This window comes from Homo sapiens, chromosome 13 (genome assembly GCF_000001405.40).
Source record: "Homo sapiens chromosome 13, GRCh38.p14 Primary Assembly".
Classification (NCBI taxonomy): Eukaryota; Metazoa; Chordata; class Mammalia; order Primates; family Hominidae; genus Homo; species Homo sapiens.
This window is the reverse complement of record NC_000013.11, coordinates 28,061,762-28,083,533: the sequence shown is the minus strand read 5'-3', so window position 1 is coordinate 28,083,533 and position 21,772 is coordinate 28,061,762. Positions and strand designations below refer to the sequence as shown.

At 42.5% G+C, this 21,772-nt stretch overlaps 1 protein-coding gene and 1 pseudogene across 4 annotated transcripts in view; one reads left to right on the top strand and one right to left on the bottom strand.

Moving 5' to 3' along the window:
* The window catches only part of FLT3 (fms related receptor tyrosine kinase 3), a 97,303-nt gene that overhangs the window by 17,043 nt on the left and 58,488 nt on the right, over positions 1-21,772 (top strand). For 3 of the 4 annotated variants that reach the window (NR_130706.2, XM_017020486.2, NM_004119.3), the window contains exons 2-3: positions 12,922-13,043; positions 21,465-21,667. Coding sequence is in view for 3 of the 4 variants with exons in the window: in XM_017020486.2 (XP_016875975.1) it covers positions 12,922-13,043; positions 21,465-21,667 (325 nt within the window). In the remaining variant the exon portion in view is untranslated. Of the gene's footprint in view, positions 1-11,735; positions 11,861-12,921; positions 13,044-21,464; positions 21,668-21,772 lie in introns of those variants that run through there. The other variant, XM_011535015.3, reaches the window with a different exon arrangement.
* On the bottom strand, positions 15,191-15,947 carry KATNBL1P1 (katanin regulatory subunit B1 like 1 pseudogene 1; annotated as a pseudogene).

Here is a 21,772-nt window from a genome sequence, read left to right as displayed (position 1 = left end):
GAAGAGAAGGCGACACTTCTCAACTCATTCTATGAAGCCAGCATTACTCTAATACCAAAACCAGACAAAGGTTAAAAGAAGGGTATAGATCAATAACTTCCATGAGTGTAAATGTAACAATCCTTAGTAATATTTTAACAAATTGAATTCAATGATATATAAAAAAGATAACAGGTGATGTCCCGCTGATGTTTATTCCAGGAATGCAAGGTTGGTTAACATTTGAAAATCAATCACTATATTTACAGACTAAAAAGAAAATTATTACTAAAAAAAAAGAACAAAACCAAGTCTATCTGATTATCTCAATAGATACAGACAAAGCATTTGACAAAGTTCAATATCCATTACTGACAAAAACCTCTTAGCAAACTAGGCATAGAAGTGATTCGGCTGGGCACGTGGTGGATCATGCCTGTAATCCCAGCACTTTGGGAGGACAAGGTGTAAGGATTGCCTGAGCTCAAGAGACCAACACCAGACTGGGCAACATGGTGAAACTTCATCTCTACAAAAAATACAAAAATTGGCCAGGCGCGGTGGCTCATGCCTGTAATCCCAGCACTTTGGGAGGCCAAAGTGGGCAGATCATGAAGTCAGGAGATCAAGACCATCCTGGCTAACACAGTGAAACCCCGTCTCTACTAAAAATACAAAAAAAAAGTAGCTGGGCATGGTGGTGGGTGCCTGTAGTCCCAGCTACTCGGGAGGCTGAGGCAGGAGACTGGCGTGAACCCAGGAGGCAAAGCTTGCAGTGAGCTGAGATCGCGCCACTGCACTCCAGCCTGGGCGACAGAGCAAGACTCCGTCTCAAAAAACAAAACAAAACAAAACAAAACAAAACAAAACAAAACAAAACAAAAATTAGCTGGGCGTCGTGGCTCCTGACTGTAGTCCCAGCTACTTGGAAGCGTCCCTTCCAAGGTTGGAGGATCCCTTGAGCATGGGAGGTGGAGGTTGCAGTGAGCTGAGATCGCACCACTGGACTCCATCCTAGGTGACACAGTGAGATCATGTCTCAAAAAAAAAAATTCCTCCTGGAGTGAGCAGCAGAAAAAACAAAAAATAAAAGACTAGGCACAGTGGCTCATGCCTGTAATCCCAGTGATTTGGCAGGACGAGGCAAGGGGGGTTGCTTGAGGCTAGGAGTTTGAGACCAGCCTTGGCAACATAGCAAGACCCCATCTCTACAAAAAGTTAAACAATTTTTTAAAAATTAGCTGAGTGTGGTGGTATGTGCATGTAGTCCTAGGTACTTGGGCAGCTGAGGTGGGAAAACTGTTTGAGCCCAGGAGTTCAGTGTTGGAGTGAGCTATGATAATGCCTCTACACTCCAGCCTGGGCGACAGAGCAAGATCCTGCCTATAAGAATCAAAGTAGGCCGGTGCAGTGGCTCACGCCTATAATCCCAGCACTTTGGGAGGGTGAGGCAGGCAGATCACCTGACGTCAGGAATTCGAGACCAACCTGGGCAACATGGCGAAACCCTGTCTTTACTAAAAATATAAAAATTAGCCGGGCATGATGGTGGGCACCTGTAATCCCAGCTACTCAGAAGCTAAGGGACAAAAATTGCTTGAACCCGGGAGATGGAGGTTGCAGTGAGCCAAGATCGCACCATTGTACTCCAGCCTGGGCGACAGAGCAAGACTGTGTCTCACAAAAAAAAAAAAAAAAAAAAAAAAAAAAGAATCAAAGTAAAAAAATCAAAGTAAATCAAAGTAAAAATTATAATAAAAATATTACAGAAGAGAAAAGAACTTATCTTCCTCAAGCTAATTAAGGGTATCTATGAAAAACCAATAGCTAATATTATACTTCATAGTAAATTAATAAATCTTTTCCCTAAGATCAGAAACAAGGCGAGGATATCCACTCTTCACTTCTTTTATTCAACTTTATACTGCAGATTTTAGCCAACGTATTAAGACGTGAAAAAGAAATGAAAAGCATCCAGATTGAAAAGGAAGATGTAAAACTCTTTATTTACAGACAACATGATAACCTATGTAGAAAATTCTATAGAACCTACAAAAAGTGACTGTAACTAATAAGTGAGTTCTGTAAGTTTGCAGGATGTACTATCAGTGTGGAAAAAAATTAATTATCTTTCTATGTCCTAGCAACTAACAATCAGAAATTGAAGGGAAGAATACCAAAATAGTATCCAAAAATATGAAACAGGGAGAAAGATGGGCAAGACCCATAATGAAAACTATAAAACATTGATAAGAGAAATTAAGTAAGATCTAATTAAAAGGAGTGATATGCCATATTTATGTATTAGAAAACTCAATATTGTTATAATGTCAGTTTTGCCCAAATTGATCTAGTGATTCAGTGAAATTCCTTTTAAAATCCCTGTAGATCTTTTTGCAGAAATTGACAAGCTGATTCTAAAATTCATATGGAAATGCAAGAGAACTAGAATATCCAAAACAACTCTAAAGAACAAAGTTAGAGAATTTGTAGTAGATTCCAAGGCTTATTATAAAGCAGTAGTAACCAAGACAATGTGGAATTGGCATCCAGATAGACAAACAGATTAATGGAACAGTATAGTGATTTGCGACCTAGAAACTGACCAAAAATATATGGTCAATTTATTTTTGATAAAGGTGTAAAGGTAATTCAGTGGAGAAATCAGTCTTTCAACAAATGGTACTGGAACAATGGCATATTCATGTGCAAAACTTTGATCCATATGTCATAATGTATGAAAAGTTAATTGAAAATGGATCATAGACCTAAATATAAAATTAAATGTAAATATGACTTCTAGGAGAAAACCTTTCTGATTTAAGATTAGGTGAAGATTTTTTAGATACAAAGCCAAAAGCATGATCCATAAAAGAAAAATTGATAAATTGGACATCTTCAAGATTAAAAATTTCTGATCCTCTAAAAACAAGCCACAGACTGGCAGAAAATATTTGCCAATTACATAAGTGATAAAGGACTTGTATCCAGAATATATATAATTTTAACCTCTCAAAACTCAATAATACAAAGTTTCAGTTAGGAGGGTAAGTTCTGGATATCTATTGTACAGCATGATGACTATAGCTGATAATAATGTTGATATAGTTTGGATATTTTTTGCTCTAAATCTCATGTTGAAATTTGATCCCTAATGTTTTATTTATTTATTTATTTTTGAGATGGAGTCTCTCTCTGTCACCAAGGCTGGAGAGCAGTGGTGCGATCTCCACCAACTGCAATCTCCACCTCCTGGGTTCAAGCAATTCTGGTGCCTCAGCCTCCTGAGTAGCTGGGATTACAGGAATGCGCCATGGCGCCCAGCTAATTTTTGTATTTTTAGTAGAGACGGGGTTTCACCATTTTGGCCAGGCTGGTCTCGAACTCCTGACCTCAGGTGATCCACCCACCTTGGCCTCCCAAAGTGCTGGGATTACAGGCATGAGCCACCGTGCCCGGCCAGATCCCCAGTGTTTTAGATGGAGCCTAGTGGGAGGTGTTTGGGTCCTGGGGGTGGATACCTCGTGAGTGGCTTGATGTCATCCTGTGGGAATGAGTGAGTTCTCATTTTACTAGTTCCTACAAGACATGATTGTGAAAAAGAGCCTGGCATCCCCCTCCTCTCTCTTCCTTCCTTTCTCACTATGTGATGGCTGCTCCCTTTCCCCTTCTGTCATGAGTGGAAGTGATATGGTTTGGCTGTGTCTCCACCCAAATCTCAACTTGAATTGTATCTCCCAGAATTCCCACATGTTGTGGGAGGGACCTAGGGTGAGGTAATTGAATCGTGGGGGCTGGTCTTTCCCGTGCTATCCTTGTGCTAGTGAATAAGTCTCACAAGATCTGATGGGTTTATCAGGTGTTTTTGCTTTTGCTTCTTCCTCATTTTTCTCTTGCTGCCACCATGTAAGAAGTGCCTTTCACCTCCCACCATGATTTTGAAGCCTCCCAGCCATGTGGAACTGTAAGCCCAATTAAACCCCTTTTTCTTCCCAGTCTCAGGTATGTTTTTATCAGCAGCATGAAAACAGACTAATACAGTAAATTGGTACCAGTAGAGTGGGGTGCTGCTGAAAAGATACCTGAAAATGTGGAAGTGTCTTTGGAACTGGGTAACAGGCAGAAGTTGGAACAGTTTGGAGGGCTCAGAAGAAGTCAGGAAAATGTGGGAAAGCTTGGAACCTCCTAAAGACTTGTTGAATGGCTTTGACAAAAATCCTGATAGTGATACGAACAATAAGGTCCAAGCCGAGGTGGTCTATCTGATGGAGATGAGGAACTTGTTGGGAACTGGAGCAAAGGTGATGACTCTTGTTATGTTTTAGCAAAAAGACTGGAGGCATTTTGCCCTTGTCCTAGAGATTTGTGGAACTTTGAACTTGAGAAAGATGATTTAGGGTATCTGGCTGAAGAAATTTCTAAGCAGCAACACATTCAAGAGATGACTTGAGTACTTGTAAAGGCATTCAGTTTTGTAAGGGAAGCAGAGCATAAAAGTTGGGAAAATTTGCAGCAGGATTATGCAATAGAAAAGAAAAACCCAGGCCGGGCATGGTGGCTCACGCCTGTAACCCCAGCACTTTGGGAGGCCAAGGCGGGGGGATCACGAGGTCGGGAGTTCAAGACCAGCCTAGCAAACACAGTAAAACCCTGTCTCTACTAAAAATACAAAAATTATCTGGGCATGATGGCGTGCACCTTTAGTCCCAGCTACTTGGGAGGCTGAGGCAGGAGAATCGCTTGAACCTGGGAGGCGGAGGTTGTGGTGAGCCAAAGTGGTGCCACTGTACTCCAGCCTGGGTGACAGAGTGAGACTGCATCTCAAAAAAAAAAAAAAAAGAAAAGAAAAACCCATTTTCTGGGGAGAAATTCTAGCTGCTGCAGAAATTTGCATAAGTTGCAAGGAGCCTAATGTTAATCCCCAAGACCATGGGGAAAATGTCTCCAGGCCATGTTGGAGACCTTCACAGCAGCCCATCCCATCACAGGCCCAGAGGCCCAGGAGAAAAAAGTGGTTTCATGGGCTGAGCCCAGGATCCCCATGCTGTATGCAGCCAAGGACTTGGTGCCCTGTGTCCCAGCAGCTCCATCCATGGCTGAAAGGGACCAATGTACAGCTCAGGCTGTGGCTTCAGAGGGTGGAAGCTACAAGCCTTGGCAGCTTCCACGTGGTGTTCAGCATGCGGGTGCACAGAAGTCAAGAATTGAGATTTGGGAACCTCTGCCTAGATTTCAGAAGATATATGGAAAAGCCTGGTTGCCCTGAGAAAAGTTTGCTGCAGGGGCAGGGTCCTCATGGAGAACCTCTGCTAGGGTAGTGTGGAAGGGAAATGTGGGGTCGGAGCCCCCACACAGAGTCCCTGCTGAAGCACTGCCTACTGGAGCTGTGAGAAGAGGGCCACTGCCCTCCAGACCCTAGAATGGTAGATCCATTGACAGCTTGCACCATGTACCTGGAAAAGCTGCAGACACAATGCCAGCCCATGAAAGCAGCCAGGAGGGAGGCTGTACCCTGCAAAGCCACAGGGGCGGAGCTTCCCAAGACCATAGGAATCCACCTCTTGCATCAGCATGCCCTGGATGTGAGACCTGGAGTCAAAAGAGATCATTTTGGAGCTTTAAAATTTGACTGCCTTGCTGGATTTCAGACTTGCATAGGCCCTGTAACCCCTTTGTTTTGGCCAATTTCTCCCATTTGGAACAGCTGTATTTACCCAATGCCTGTACCCCCATTGTATCTAGGAAGTAACTAGCTTGCTTTTGATTTTACAGGCTCATAGGTGGAAGGGACTTGCCTTGCCTCAGATGAGACTTTGGACTGTGGACATTTGGGTTAAGGCTGAAATGAGTTAAGACTACGGGGGACTGTTGGGAAGGCATGATTGATTTTGGAATGTCAGGACATGAGATTTGGAGGGGCCGGGGCAGAATGATATGGTTTGACTGTGTCACCACCCAAATCTCAACTTGAATTGTATCTCGCAGAATTCCCACGTGTTGTGGGAAGGACCCAGGGGGAGGTAATTGAATCATGGGTGCCAGACTTTCCCATGCTATTCTCATGATAGTGAATAAGTCTCACGAGATTTGATGGGAATAAGTCTCACGAGATCTGATGGGTTTATCAGGGGGTTCTGCTTTTGCTGCTTCCTCATTTTTCTCTTGCTGCCACCATGTGAGAAGTGCCTTTCGCCTCCTGCCATGATTCTGAAACCTCCCCAGCCATGTGGAGCTGTAAATCCAATTAAACCTCTTTTTCTTCCCAGTCTTGGGTATATTTTTATCAGCAGTGTGAAAACGGACTAATATATGAAGCTTCCTGAGTTCCTCACCAGAAGCAGATGCTAGCATCATGCTTCTCACACACACTATGTAACTGTGAGCCAAATAAAACTCTCTTTTCTTTTGTTTTCTTTTTCTTTCTTTCTTTTCTCTTTCTTTCTCTCTCTCTTTCTTTTTCTCTTTTTCTTTCTTTCTTTCTTTTCTTTCTTCTTTCCCTTCCTTCCTTCCTCTCTCTCTCTCTCTTTCTTTTCCTTCCTTCCTTCCTTCCTTTCTGTCTGTCTCTTCCCTCCCTTCCTCCCTCCCTTCCTTCTTTCCTTCCTTCCTTCCCTCTTGCTCTGTCACCCAGAGACAGGGTCTCACTCTGTCATCCAAGCTGAAGTGCAGTGGCATGATCACAGCTCACTGCAGCCTTGACCTCCCTGGGTTGAGGTGATCTTCCTGCCTCAGTTTCCTGAGTAGCTGGGACTACAGATACATGCTACCACACCTGGCTAATTTTGTATTTTTTGTAGAGACAGAGTTTCACTGTGTTGCCCAGGCTGGTCTCGAATTCCTGGGCTCAAGCAATCCTCCCACCTTGGCCTCCCAAAGTGCTGAGATTACAGTCCTCACTCATGCTACAAACACTGCCTTCTCTCTGCCTTCTGGAGTAGAACACCTTTTCTCCTCCTGCCTTTGGACATCAGACTCCAGGTTCTTTGGCTCTTGGACTCTGACACTTGCACCAGCAGCCTTCTGGGGGCTCTCAGGCCTTTGGCCTCAGACTGGGGTTGCATTGTTGGCTTCCTTGGTTTTGAGGCTTTTGGTCTTGGACTGGGACACGTTACTGGCTTTTCTTTCTCATTTTCTGGCTTGCAGACCGCTTGTCCTGGAACTTCGCCTTTGTAATCACATGAGCCAATTCTCTCTAAAAAATTCCCTTTCATATACAAATATATGAAATATATGTATATATATCCTATTGGTTTTGTCCCTCTGGAGAAGGCTACTACAAATGTATTGTGTAAAATGAAATAAAATAAACGTCAGCATTTGATTATGTTTTGTAATATATTTTCTCTTTTTGGGGCCATTGTAGGTACTTAATATTTGTTAATTGCATGGATGGATGAATAAATAAATGTCAAAATGCTCATATTTTAAAAATGCATTGTATATGAGAAAATTGCTATGAAGGGCCATGTGCAGTGGCTCACGCCTATAATCCCAGCACTTTGGGAGGCCGAGGCGGACAGATCACTTGAAGTCAGGAGTTCCAGACCAGCCTGGCCAACATGGGGGACCCTCACTTCTACTAAAAATACAAAAAATTAGCCGGGTGTGGTGGTGCATGCCTGTAATCACAGCTACTTGGGAGGCTGAGGCAGGAGGATCACTGGAACCTGGGAGGTGGAGTTTGCAGTGAGCCGAGATGGTGCCACTGTACTCCAGCTTGGGTGACAGAGTCAGACTCTGTCTCAAAAAAAAAAAATTGCTAAGAGAGTAGGTTTTAGATGTCTCAACATGAAAAAATAAATACATGAAGTGATGCATCCATTTTTTTTTTTTTAGACAGAGCCTCACTCTGTTGCCCAGGCTAGAGTGCAATGGCGTGATCCCTGCTCACTGCAACCTCTACCTCCCAGGTTGAAGTGATTCTTCTGCCTCAGCCTCCTGAGTAGCTGGGACTACAGGCATGCGCCACTTCACCCGGCTAATTTTTGTATTTTTAGTAGAGACAGGGTTTCACCATGTTGGCCAGGCTGGTCTTGAACTCCCGACCTCAAGTGATCTGCCCACCTCGGCCTCCCAAAGTGCTGGGATTACAGATGTGAGCCACCATGCCCGGCCTTGTGATGCATCTATTTTTTATTGATACATAATATTTTACATATTTATGGGGTACATACGATATTTTGTGACCTCCATAGAATGTGTAATGACCAACTCAGAGTATTTGAGGTAATCATCACGTTGAATATTTATCATTTCTATGTGTTGGGAACATTTCAAGTCCAAGAAATATATGAAATATATGAAAAAATGTTCAACATCACTAATCATCAGGGAAATGCAAATCAAAACCACAATGATGTATATGTTAATTAGCTTGATTTAATCATTCCACAATGTATGCATATATTAAAACATCACATTATACTCCGTGAGTATATATTTTTGTCAATTATACAATACTCAATACTTTTTAAAATGAGCAATCTCATTAAAAAAGGTTAGATGTGGGCAAAAGATGTGAACAGATACACCACCAGAGAAGTTATGGAATGTGATAGCATCATCTAAATGGATGTTCAATGTTCATTAGTCAGGAGGAAAATGCAAATTAAAACCACAATGAGGGCTGAGCGCAGTGGCTCACACCTGTAATCCCAGCACTTGAGGAGCCCAAGGTGGGCAGACAACTTGAGCCTAGGAGTTTGAGACCAGCCTGGACAAAAAATACAAAAATTACAAAAATACAGAAATTAGCCAGGTATGGTGGTGCGCACCAGTTGTCCCAGCTACTCGGGAAGCTAAGGTGGGGGGATGGCTTGAGCCCAGGAGGTCAAGGCCGCAGTGAGCTGTGATCACGCCACTATACTCCAACCTGAGTGACAGGGTGAGACCCTGTCTCAAAAAATAAAAAATAAAAATAAATAAGAACACAATGAGATACAACACACTTATTAGAAAGGCCAAAATTTTAAAGTCTCATCATACCAAATGTTAGCGAGGATGTGACACAACTGGAATTCCATACACTGCGAGTGGGAACATAAAAGCTCTAACCTCTTTGGAAGACAATTGGGCACTTTCTTAAAAAGTTACAAATACACTGACCATATAACCTAGGCATTCAATTCCTTAGTATTTACCCAAGAGAAATGAAAGTATATATCCATATTAAGACTTTTATATAAATAGCAGCTTTATTAGTAACAGCAAAAGTGGAAACAGCCCAAATGTGTGTCCACAGGTGAATAGATTAAAACAAATTGTGTTATATATCTATACAACAGATTACTACTTGGTAATTAAAAGGAATGAACTACTGATATCTACTACAGTATGGACAAATATCAAAAAAATGCACAATGAAAGAGGCCAGACCACCCACCCTATAAAAAAACAGTTCATACTGTGTGATTCCATTTGTATGAAATTTTAGAAAATTCAAACCAGTCTATAATTACAGAAAATAGATCAGAGGTGGCTTGGGTGTGGGGGAATGGGGTTGGTAGCAGGGCGTGATATCAAAGCTTCATAAGGAAACTTTTGAGAGTGATAGGTAACTTTACTATCTTTTAAAAAAAATTGTTTTCTTTTTTTTCTTTTCTTTTTTTTTTTTTTTTAGAGGCAGGATCTGGCTCTTTTGCCCAGGCTGGAGTGCAGAGGCGTGATCATAGCTCATTGCAGCTTCAAACTCCTGGCCTCAAGCTATCCTCCCACTTCAGCCTCCCAAGTAGCTGAGACTTCAGGCTCGTGCCACCACACTTGGCTAATGTTTTAAAAACAAATTTTTGTAGAGATGGGGTTTCACTCTATCTCTCAGCCTGGTCTCTAACTCCTGGTCTCAAGTGATCCTCCCACCTTGGCCTCCCAAAGCGCTGGGATTACAGGTGTGAGCATCATGCCCAGCCTTAAATTCACCATTTTGATTGTGGTGATGGATTTGCAGATATGTATGAATTTACTAAATTGTATACTTTTAATGTGCACGATTTATTATAAGTTAATTATACTTATAAAATATTTTTTAAATTACTATTTTTTTAAAGACTAGAGAGAAAACATTACAGAGTGGAGCAGGAAAAGTTCTTACTTTCTGAGACTGTCTCAGATTATGAGATTACAAAGATGGCTGGACACATATATTACCTCCTGTCGCTATCTACAGACCACTCAAGTGACAGTAAAAAATGCTTTTTTTTTTTTTTTTTCCAGAGATGAGGTCTCACTGTGTCACCCAGGGGCTGGAGTGCAATGGTGCAATCACATCTCACTGCAGCCTCAACATCCCATGCCTGAGCGATCCTTTCCCACCTCAGCCTTCTGAGTAGCTGGGCTGGGACTATAGGCGCACACCACTATGCCCAGTTAATTTAAAAAAAATTTTTAGAGATATGCTTTTACTGGGTTGCCCAGGCTGGTCTCAAACTCCTGGCCTCAAGCAATCCACCCACCTCAGCCTCCCAAAGTGCTGGGATTACAGACATGAGCCACCAGGCTCGGCCAAAAAATGCTTTTAAAGAGATAAGCATATTTGTTGTTGTTGTTTTTTTTTTTTAGAGACGGAGTCTCGCTCTGTCGCCCAGGCTGGAGTGCAGTGGCACGATCTTGGCTCACTGCAAGCTCCGCCTCCCGGGTTTACGCTATTCTCCTGCCTCAGCCTCCCGAGTAGCTGGGACTGCAGGCGCCTGCCACCACGCCCGGCTAATTTTTGTATTTTTTTAGGTAGAGACGGGGTTTCACCACGTTAGCCAGGATGGTCTCGAGCTCCTGACCTCGTGATCCACCCGCCTCGGCCTCCCAAAGTGCTGGGATTACAGGTGTGAGCCACCACGCCCGGCCGCATATTTGTTAAGAGAATAGATCTTGGCCAGGCACAGTGGTTCATGCCTGTAATCCCAGCACTTTGGGAGGCCAAGGCAGCTGAATCACTTGAGGCCAGGAGTTTGAGACTAGCCTGGCCAGCAAGGTGAATGCTGTCTCTACTAAAAACACGAAAATTAGCTGGGCATGATGGCGCACACCCGTGATCCCAGCTACTTGGGAGGCTGAGGCAGGAGAATCACTCAAACCCCGGAGACAGAGGTTGCAGTGAGCAGTGATCGTGCCACTGCACTCCAGCCTCGGCAACAGATCAAGACTCTGTCTCAATTTAAAAAAAAGAGAGAGAGAGAGCGAGAGAGAGTAGATCTTAAATGTTCTCATCACCAAAAAAGAAAAAGAAAAAGATAAGTATACAAGCTGATGGATAGGTTAGTTAGCTTGTTTGGGGTATTCGTTTCACAATGTGTGTATGTATATGTGTATATACTTATATGTACATATATACTTAAATACATAAAGAGAAGCCCATATATATGTATATATACTTAATATATACATATACATACACACATTATATATAAATACACATATATTTTTATATATATATGAAAATTACATGATGTACACTGTGAATATATGATGTACACTGCAATTTTTATTTGCCAATTATACCTAATACCCCCAAAGAAACAAAGATATAAACATAGAAAGACAAAGAGGGTGGAGAAGGAGAAAGTAAAACTTTGAGAGCTTTAAAGCAGATAAAGCTGGGTGTAGTGGCTCACACCTATCATCCAACAACTTGGGAGGCCAAGGCAGGGGGATCACTTGAGTCCAGGAGTTTGAAGTCACTGTGTGCAACATAGCGAGATCCTGTCTCTTAAAAAAAAAATTAAAAAGAAGAAGCAGATGATGAAAGCTGAATTATAGTTGGGGGTTGAGAAAGCTGAGAAGCAGCCTGCTTTTCATTGCAGGACCCCACAATAGTATAACTTGCCAAGACCAGCTCGCAGGACACAGGCAGCAAGCAAGAGAGAGAATCTTCTCTGGGGAGTCGGACCAACCGGTGAGAAAAGACCTAAATATACACCTACAGAGATTGAGCCACAAGCCACATCATAGAGCTTAGGATAGACGCTCAGCACTTCATTCTTATATGTGAAGAGACTGTCAAAGATTGTCAGTCATTTGGGGAAAATATCTAAATCATGGGCAAACAGAAAGTAAAGAGGAGAGAAGGAATCAAAGAAATAATTCAAGAAAATGCCAAACAGAGGGATATGAATTTCTAGATTGAAAAGGCCCACTGAGTACCCAGCACAATGGATGAAAATAGACTCTCAGGAAGGCACATAATTTTGAAAATTTTAGTGCTGTGGTTTCAAAGAAAAGATTCTATAAGCACCCATAGAGAAAAAAAGAATATACCAGGCCGGGCACAGTGGCTTACACCTGTAATCCCAGCACTTTGGGAGGCAGAGGCGGGTGGATCACCTGAGGTCAGGAGTCCAAGACCAGCCTGGCTAACGTGGCGATACCCCGTCTCTACTAAAAATACAAAAAAAAAAAGAAAGAAAATTAGCCAGGCACGGTGACGGGCACCTGTAATCCCAGCCACTCGGGAGGCTGAGACAGGAGAATCACTTGAGCCTGGGAGGCGGAGCTTGCAGTGAGCCAAGAACGCGCCACTGCACTCCAGCCTGGGCGACAGAGCGAGACTCCATCTCAAAAAAAAAAAAAAAAAAAAAGGTAGAAATCTATATACAATAAAAAGTGCACACACACACACACACAAATCATGTATACAAATAATCATTTCCTCAGTCAAACTAGCCTCATTTCAAAAGCTTAAGAGCCACATGTAGCTAGTCGCTACCATATTAGACAGCACAGGCATAGAACATGTCCATCACTGCAGACTGTTTTATTGGACAGCCCTGCTCTAAGTATCTCTGCTCCTGATTTAAACTAGACTAAACTTGCATAAAATCAAATTTCCTACATACTTTCATAGTGGCCAATTTCCTCTGATTACACTTTGTTTTGTTGTTTGGTTGCAAGATAAATGCATGTTTTCTTTTTAAGGTGTGCATGTATCAACATTATCATTTTTATTTTGTTTTACAGTTGTTTTTTCTGCAATGATATTTGGGACTATTACAAATCAAGATCTGCCTGTGATCAAGTGTGTTTTAATCAATCATAAGAACAATGATTCATCAGTGGGGAAGTCATCATCATATCCCATGGTAAAGTAACATTAAAATTATACCTTTAGCTGTTTTTCTCTAGAGAACGTAATTTGTAAGTTATTGAAGCCTACCATGGCTAAATGGGCTTCTCTTTATGTATTTAAGTATATTATGGCCTCACATCTGGTACCAACAGAGCATCTATACTCCTAGCTCCCTGGCACTCCATTCCTTCAAGAACCGTATTCTTCATATGAGGATTTAGGAAGGACACTGATTGATAACTAGCATGAAGTAATGAGTAGAGTCGTCCCTTGGTATACAGCGGGGATGGTTCCAAGACTCTCACTAATACCAAAATCCATGGATACTCAAGTACCTGATATAAAATGGCTTGGTATTTGCATGTAACCTATGCAGATTCTGTATATTTTTGAGACAGTCTCATTCTGTTGACCAGGCTGGAGTATAGTGGCATGATCATAGCTCACTGCAGCCTCGCCCTCCCGGGCTCAAGCAATCCTCCCACTTCAACCTCCCAACTAGCTGGGACTAAAGGCACATGCCACCACACCTGGCTAATTTTTTTTATTTTTTGCAAAGATGGGGTCCCACTCTGTTGCCCAGGCTGATCTTGAACTCCTGGGCTCAACTGATCCTACCACCTAAGCCTCCCAAAGTGCTGGGATTACAGTCCTCAGCCACCATGCTTGACCCTCCTGTATACTTTTAAAATTATCTCTAGATTACTTATAATACCTAATACGATGCAAATGCTTTATAATACCTAAACAACTATGTGAATAGTTATTATACCCTATTGTTTAGGGAATAATGATGACAAGGGAAAAAAGTCGGTACATGTTCAGTACAGATGCAACCCCATTTTTTTCGGAATATTTTCAATCTGTGGTTGGTTGTATCCATGGATGCGGAACCCATGGTTACAGAGGGCCTACTGTATTTCCTTTTCTCCTTAAAGAGAATCCTGGCTTTTCTTCCAAGCCTGAATCCCTCACTTCCAGCTGCCCCCAGTATATAGGTAGATTTTCCATTTGCACATCAAAATCCACCTATGTCATTTATTTTATTTCATTTCTATTTCCCCAAGCCTGCTCTTATTCTTGTATTTATTGATTTCTGTTTATACCCCTGTTTAGTTCCCAGGCTTGAAAGCTCAGCATCATTTTGGACTACTTTCTTTCTATTACTTTCACATTTGGTCAGTTACCAAGTGTTGTCGATCCCCTTTAGGAGTTCTCATATAATCATCTCATATTCTCTAGTCTCACTGCCACTTCCCTAAGTCAAGCCCTCGTTAACTCCCTCATAATCACAGTGATATCCTAAGTGGCCTCTTCCTGCTACAATTCATCTCAGAGGTAGCTGCTGGGCTAGCCTCCCTGAAGCAGGCACATCCTTCATTGCCTGGCTCTGAACCCTCCATGATTTCCCATTACTTAGACTGATACCAAGATTGCTCAGTAATCTGGCTCTGGCTCCTTCAAGTTCCGACTTTGTTTTTCATGACTCCTCTCTTTTACGCTGTTCGTCTTGTTTTTCATTACCCCCTCTCTTGTGCTATTCCTACCCCTCTATTTTAAAAACATATATTTAGTAAATTTACTCAAGGGAAGCTTAAGTGATGGAGAACTGAAAATAGTAGAAATCAGCCAGGTACAGTAGCTCACACCTGTAATCCCAGCACTTTGGGAGGCCAAGGTGGGTGGATCGCTTGAGCTGAGGAGTTTGAGACCAGCCTGAGGAACATGGTGAAACCCCGTGTCTATCAAAAATACAACAACAACAAAAAAATTAACCAGCCATGGTGGTGTGCGCCTGTGGTCCCAGCTACTTGTGAGGCTGAGGCCGGAGGATCATCTGAACCAGGGAGGTGGAGGTTGCAGTGAGCCAAGATTGTGCCACTGCCCTCCAGCCTGCCTTGGCCTCCCAAAGTGTTGGGATTACAGGCATGAGCCACTGCTACTGGCTGATATATATCTCATATATATATATGATATATATCATAGATTTTTTTTTTGTAGAGACGGGTTTTGCCATGTTAGCCAGATGGGTCTCGAACTCCTGACCTCAGGTTATCCGCCCACCTTGGCCTCCCAAAGTGCTGGGATTACAGGCATGAGCCACTCACTGCACCTGGCTGGGAATCGCGTTTCAACATGAGCTTTGGAGGGGACACACATCCAAACCATATCACCAACTATTCCATATTCTTCAAATTTGCTTTTAAGAGATGACTATACTAAGGCACCAAGTATTCACAGCAGCTGAGTGAGATGTACTGTTTTTTTTTTCCTGTCAGTGATTAGAGAGCATAGGCAGGCAATCCACCATAACTCTAAAATTATCTCTCCTTACCAAATAGGTTCATTTATACCTCCCTTCCTCCAGAAAGTCAAAGCTGCATTTAATGTCACATTCCTCCTGAACAGATCTTGTGCCATTGCGGCACAGTCTAAACAAAACAAAACAAAACATAATAAAAACAAAAATAATAAAAACAAAAAGTCTCCACTATGGTTTAATGACTGGTTTTCTCTTTGTGAAGAACTGAAGTTACTGGAGTTGACCAAATGTGTTTGACAATCATGACCTCATATTTCAGGCAGGTGGCCTGCACAAGCCAGCTTATTTTCTTTATTTGCCATGTCCCACCCTGTACTTCTAGAGAATGAGTTGTTGATTTGTTTGTTTGTTGGTTGGTTTTCTGTAACAAGGATTTGGGAAAGAATGGTGGACTTTGTGTGATGGATCATTTTACGTGCTTTCTCTGGACTTTTCACAGCTTGTGCAGCTGTTTTACTTACGTAAGCAGACAACAACTGTGTTAGTGATTTCATGTCCTCATTAGTTAGCTATACTTGTTATAAGAAGATCAACAGACTGAATTTCAGTGTTATTACAAAAGTTGTATTTTTTTTTAACATTGTGATTTTGAGATATCACAGTCTCTTAAATTCCAGTGCCTTCATGGCTCTGTGGGACTCAGCTCTGCCAGGTGGTGAAGAACGTGGCCTGGCCTTCAAGAACATCCCTTGGCTCCTGGTCAGCCTGGCTCAAGCTATTCCCGGACTGCCAGCGGTGGAGCCCACTGCCTCTGTACTGTGCATTTATCATGCTATTCTCTCTCCTCTGAAGCCCGCAGATTTGTCTATCCAGATTGTGGATTGTACCCAGCTTTAATTTTTAAAAACTTTTTACAGGGGCTGGGCACGGTGGCTCACGCCTGTAATCCCAGCATTTTGGGAGGCCCAGGCAGGTGGATCACCTGAGGTTGGGAGTTCGAGACCAGCCTGGCCAACATGGAGAAATTCCGTCTCTGCTAAAAAATACAAAATAAACCAGGCGTGGTGGCGCATGCCTGTAATCCCAGCTACTCAAGAGGCTGAGGCAGGAGAATCGCTTGAACCCCAGAGGCGGAGGTTGCGGTGAGCTGAAATCATGCATTGCACTCCAGCCTGGCAACAAGAACGAGATTATGGATTTCTGGCAAGAATTTCCCAGGAGCGTGCCCTTCCCAGAGCATCATATTCAGAGTGACAGGAAGTCATTTGGTGTCATTATGAAGATGTGAACCTTGATCATTAGAGTTAGACAGTGCATGCCAGGTATCCCCACTGCAAAGTTACTATTTTCTTCACTTATAATTAATAAGTGTCTTGGAGGGGATGCAAATATCCTGTTCCTTCTTTAATTTTCACCTACTGATTTTAGCACCCATTGGTGGATCTTGCCTACGATTATTATGGTGGTGTTTGCCTAATGGTGCTTTTCTTTTTCCTACATTCCCTCTATGTTAATTGGAATGCTTTGTAAGGAAGCACTGCCCCTTTCCCCTCATTTTATTTATGTATTTATTCAATTTTTTATTTATATCAGTAGAGGCCCATGAATATTTATTTTATCCTCTGGATTGTAACCCAATACAATCATTATTTATTTTGTTGCTCAAATTCTTCCAGCTTTGGCCATTAGGAACTACTTCAGTTTTGCTCCTGTGTCCTTTCAACATCTCCTCATCTTTTTCCAAGCCCTTCCTTAATTTTTGACACACTACCAGATAGTTCAGGTTCATCTTGTATTTTTCTTTTCTTGCCTTACCCCTGGAATTCAGCACTTCTCCAAAGAGCACTGGCTTCTCTGGGGGGTAGTATTTAGGAACCAAGATCTGAGAGTTGGGTGTGCCCATTGCTGCTGGGATATCATTGCTTCTAGGCCCTCTCGGCAGGCAGAGCCTGGAAATACAATATATAGATAATCTAATTTTAGAATTACTAACCCATACCCTGGTGAGAAATAGATTTACTAACTAAAGGACAGTATTTGTGTACAGTGCTTTTTGTCTTTAGCCTTAAGGGATCCAAAGTATTATTTTCTGAAGTTACTTAGGTTAGTTCCTTTCTTTCCCATCCCTTCACTATGGTGTTATTATTTATTTGTGATACAATTGAATTAATTTGGTTCGTATTCCGTCTTGATATTTCTTCCAGCCCCCTCATTTCACATATTCTAGTTGGTTTATTTATTTATTTTATTTATTATATATTCTTTTACTAGAGACAGGGTTACACCATGTTGCCAAGGCTGGTCTCGAACTCCTGGACTCAAGCAATCTGCCTGCCTCGGCCTCCCAAAGTGCTGGGATTACAGGTGTGAGCCACCACACCTGGATTATTATTATTATTATTATTATTACTTTGAGACAAGATCTCGCTCCGTTGTCCAGGCTGGAGTGCAGTGACACAAACATAGCTCACTTCAGCCTCAACCTCCTAGGCTCAAGCAATCCTCCTGCCTCAGCCTCCCAAAGTGCTGGGATTACAGGCGTGAGCCACCACACCTGGATTATTATTATTATTATTATTATTATTATTATTATTACTTTGAGACAAGATCTCGCTCCGTTGTCCAGGCTGGAGTGCAGTGACACAAACATAGCTCACTTCAGCCTCAACCTCCTAGGCTCAAGCAATCCTCCTGCCTCAGCCTCCCGGGTAGCAAGGACCACAGGCATGCACCACCATGCCTGGCTAATTTTTTAATTTTTTGTAGAGATGGGGTCTCATTTTGTTGCCCAGGCTGATCTTGAACTCCTGGGCTCAAGTGATCCTCTTGCCTTGGCCTCACAAAGTCCTGGGATTACAGGCATGAGCCACTGTGCCTGACCCTCCTGGTTGGTTTAATTACTTGTTTTTTGAGACATGACATGACTCTTGTCCTAAAAGTCAAAACAATGTGAAACAGTATACTCAGAGAAGTATCACTGTCTCCTCACTCCTACTGACAAGTTTCCACCCTCTTTCTACATATCCCTGTAATTAACCAATCCCTTTAGATGTTTTGCTATTATTCCAGTATTTATTGTGCACAAGTGACCAGATACATATATATTTCCTTATATTCTCCTCTTTCTTACATAGCATAGCATACTTGAAGGTAGATACTTTTTGCACCTAGCTTTCTTCACTTAACAGTACATCCAGGAAATCATTGCAAATCAGTTCTTAGAGGTTGTCTTCATTCTTTTTTATAGCTACATAGTACCCCCTGGTGTGGATGTACCATAATTTGTTCAACCACTCATCTATGTACGAGCATTTAGGTTGTTTTCAGTATTTTGCAATTATGAATTGTGCTGCAATTAATTGCTAGAGGTGTGCTTATTCCCAGAAGTGAGATTGCTGGCTCAAATGGTGAGTGAATCGCAAGTTTTATTAGGTATTGCCAAATTCTTCTCCAGAAGGGTTGTGCAGGGTGTGTTCCCCCAGCAATGCAGGAGAAAACTGTTTCCCCATGGCCTCACCGACAAAATGTGTTGTCATATTTTTTAATTTTTTGCCAGTCTGATAGAGGAGAAGTGATATATTAGTCTTGTTTTAACTTATGGATTTCTAATTATAAGTAGGTTTAATATTTTCTCATATGCTTGAGGGCCATTCTTTTTTTTCTTTTTTTGAGATGGAGTCTCACTCTGTCGCCCAGGCTGGAGTACAGTAGTGCCATCTTGGCTTACTGCAGCCTCCGCCTCCCAGGTTCAAGCAGTTCTCTGCCTCAGCCTCCCAAGTAGCTGGGATTACAGGTGCCTGCCACCACACTCGGCTAATTTTTATATTTTTAGTACAGACAGGGTCTCACCATCTTGGCCAGGCTGGTCTCGAACTCCTGACCTTGTGATCCGCCCACCTTGGCCTCCCAAAGTGCTGGGATTTCAGGAGTGAGCCATCGCCCCTGGCTGAGGGCCATTCTTTATATCTTTTTTCTTGAATTGTGTATTCAATTCTTTTTCCCAGTTGTCTACTGTGTTTTGGTTCTGTGTCCCTCAATTTTCAAAGGTTCTTTTTATATTAGGGGTATTCGCCCTTTACTTGTAATATATGTTGGCATATTTTCTTCTAGTATGTCAGCTGGGTTTTTTTGTTTTGGGACGGGGTCTTGCTATGTTCTCCAGGCTGGACTTGAACTCCTGGGCTCAAGTGATCCTTCCACCTCAGCCTCCTGAGTAGCTGGAACTACAGGCATGTACCACCATGCTTGACTTGTCTATTATTTTTTACTTTATCTTGTGCCCATCTTTTATGATCCAGCTCAATTACTGGACTTGGGTGAAAAACTTAAACATCCGGCTTAGAAATCTCTTCTCCCTCCTTTGAAGTTCCAGGGCACTTACAATTTACATTTCAAAGTATTTGGTATCTTTTTATGGGACACTTGTATTTCTCCTGTGTTTTACTTATTTATTCCTAGGAGACTCAAACTCTTTAAGGGCAAGATTAGTCTTTTTTTTTTTTCTAGTCTCATAGTACTCAGCAGATGGTCTTGCACTTATCATAGTAAGTGAACAAATAAGACCAGAAATATGGTTTTTGACTGGTAGCAGAAGAGCTACCCTGCTCTTCACCTGAAGAAATATGTGTGTGCTCATGTGTGTGCATGTGTGCATGCTGTGTTCAGCCATGTAAAGGAGATAGGAGGTGGGGGACTCCACAGCAGAAGCTGCTCCAACCCCTGCTGTCAATATATCTTAATTAATTAATTAATTAATTTTTTGAGACAGAGTCTGACTCCGTCCCCCAGGCTGGAGTGCATTGGCGGGATCTAGGCTCATTGCAACCTCCATCTCCCAGGTTCAAGTGATTCTCCTGCCTCAGCCTCCTGAGTAGCTGGGATTACAGGCGCCTACCACCACACCCAGCTAATTTTTTGTATTTTCAGTAGAGATGGGGTTTCACCATGTTGGCCAGGCTGGTCTCGAACTCCTGACCTCAAGTGATCTGCCCACTTCAGCCTCCCAAAGTGCTGGAATTACAGGCGTGAGCCATAGCGCCTGGCCTCATATATCTCAATTATTTAAAGCAGGCAAGAAGTGTGGTGGCAGTGTGGCTATGGGGACATCTGCCCAGAAAATTTGGTTTTTAAATTTCCTCTAACACAGATACCAATTTACCATTGCTTTATAAATTTTTATCTATATACCAACAATCACAAAAATATTTACCTATATATTATAGATTTTATAATTACGGTCTGATTAGTTTGCTAGGGGTGATACAACAAACTACCACAGACTGGGCAACTGAAACCAACAGAAATTTATTATCTCACAATTCTGGAAGCTAGAAGTCCAAAATTAAGATGTCAGCAGGGTTGGTTCCTTCTAAGGGCAGTGAGCAAGAATCTGCTCCAGGCCTCTCTCCTTGGTTGGAAGATGGCTGTCTTTCTGTTCACATGGTGTTCTTACTGTCTGTGTATCTGCCTTCAAATCTCCTCTTTTTTTTTTTTTTTTGAGACAGAGTTTCACTCTGTTGCCCAGTCTGGAGTGCAGTGGCGCGATCTCAGCTCGCTGCAACCGCTGCCTCCCATGTTCAAGCCATTCTCCTGCCTCAGCCTCCCGTGGAGCTGGGATTACAGGTGCCAACCACCACTTCCAGCTTATTTTTTGTATTTTTAGTAGACATAGGGTTTCACCATGTTGGCCAGGCTGGTCTTGAATTCCTGACTTCAAGTGATCTGCCTGCCTCCGCGTCCCAAAGTGCTAGGATTGCAGGTGTGAGCCACCGTGCCCTGCCTCCTCTTCTTATAAGGACACGAGTCATACTGGATTTAGGCCCACCCTAATGACCCATTTTAACTTGATTACCACTGTAAAGACCATCTCCAAATAAAGTTGCATTTGAGGGTTAGGACTTCAACATATGAACTTGCAGAGGTAGGGGGACACACGCCATGACAGTCCGTACAACATTTTAGAAATGCAGCCCAATGTTATTTATCTTTTCTTTAGAGAATTATAATTAATAGGACCTTCAGTCGGCAACGTGTTCTCAGTGGGTTCCAGCTTGTGTGGGTGTTGCGTGCAGTGTGTCAGCATGCATATGTTTGATAAAGTTTTGATGTGAAGAAGGGGAGGCCTTAGACCTGCAGTTTTCATGAATTCACTTTGTTCTATCTGCAACGTAGGTATCAGAATCCCCGGAAGACCTCGGGTGTGCGTTGAGACCCCAGAGCTCAGGGACAGTGTACGAAGCTGCCGCTGTGGAAGTGGATGTATCTGCTTCCATCACACTGCAAGTGCTGGTCGACGCCCCAGGGAACATTTCCTGTCTCTGGGTCTTTAAGCACAGCTCCCTGAATTGCCAGCCACATTTTGATTTACAAAACAGGTAAGTGGAGGAATACCTTCTTGACATAAAATGTGGTTCATTTGGAATTTTGTTTCAAGTTTCTGTTCATGTTTATTGTAAACCTTTTTTTTTTGTGAGTCAGGG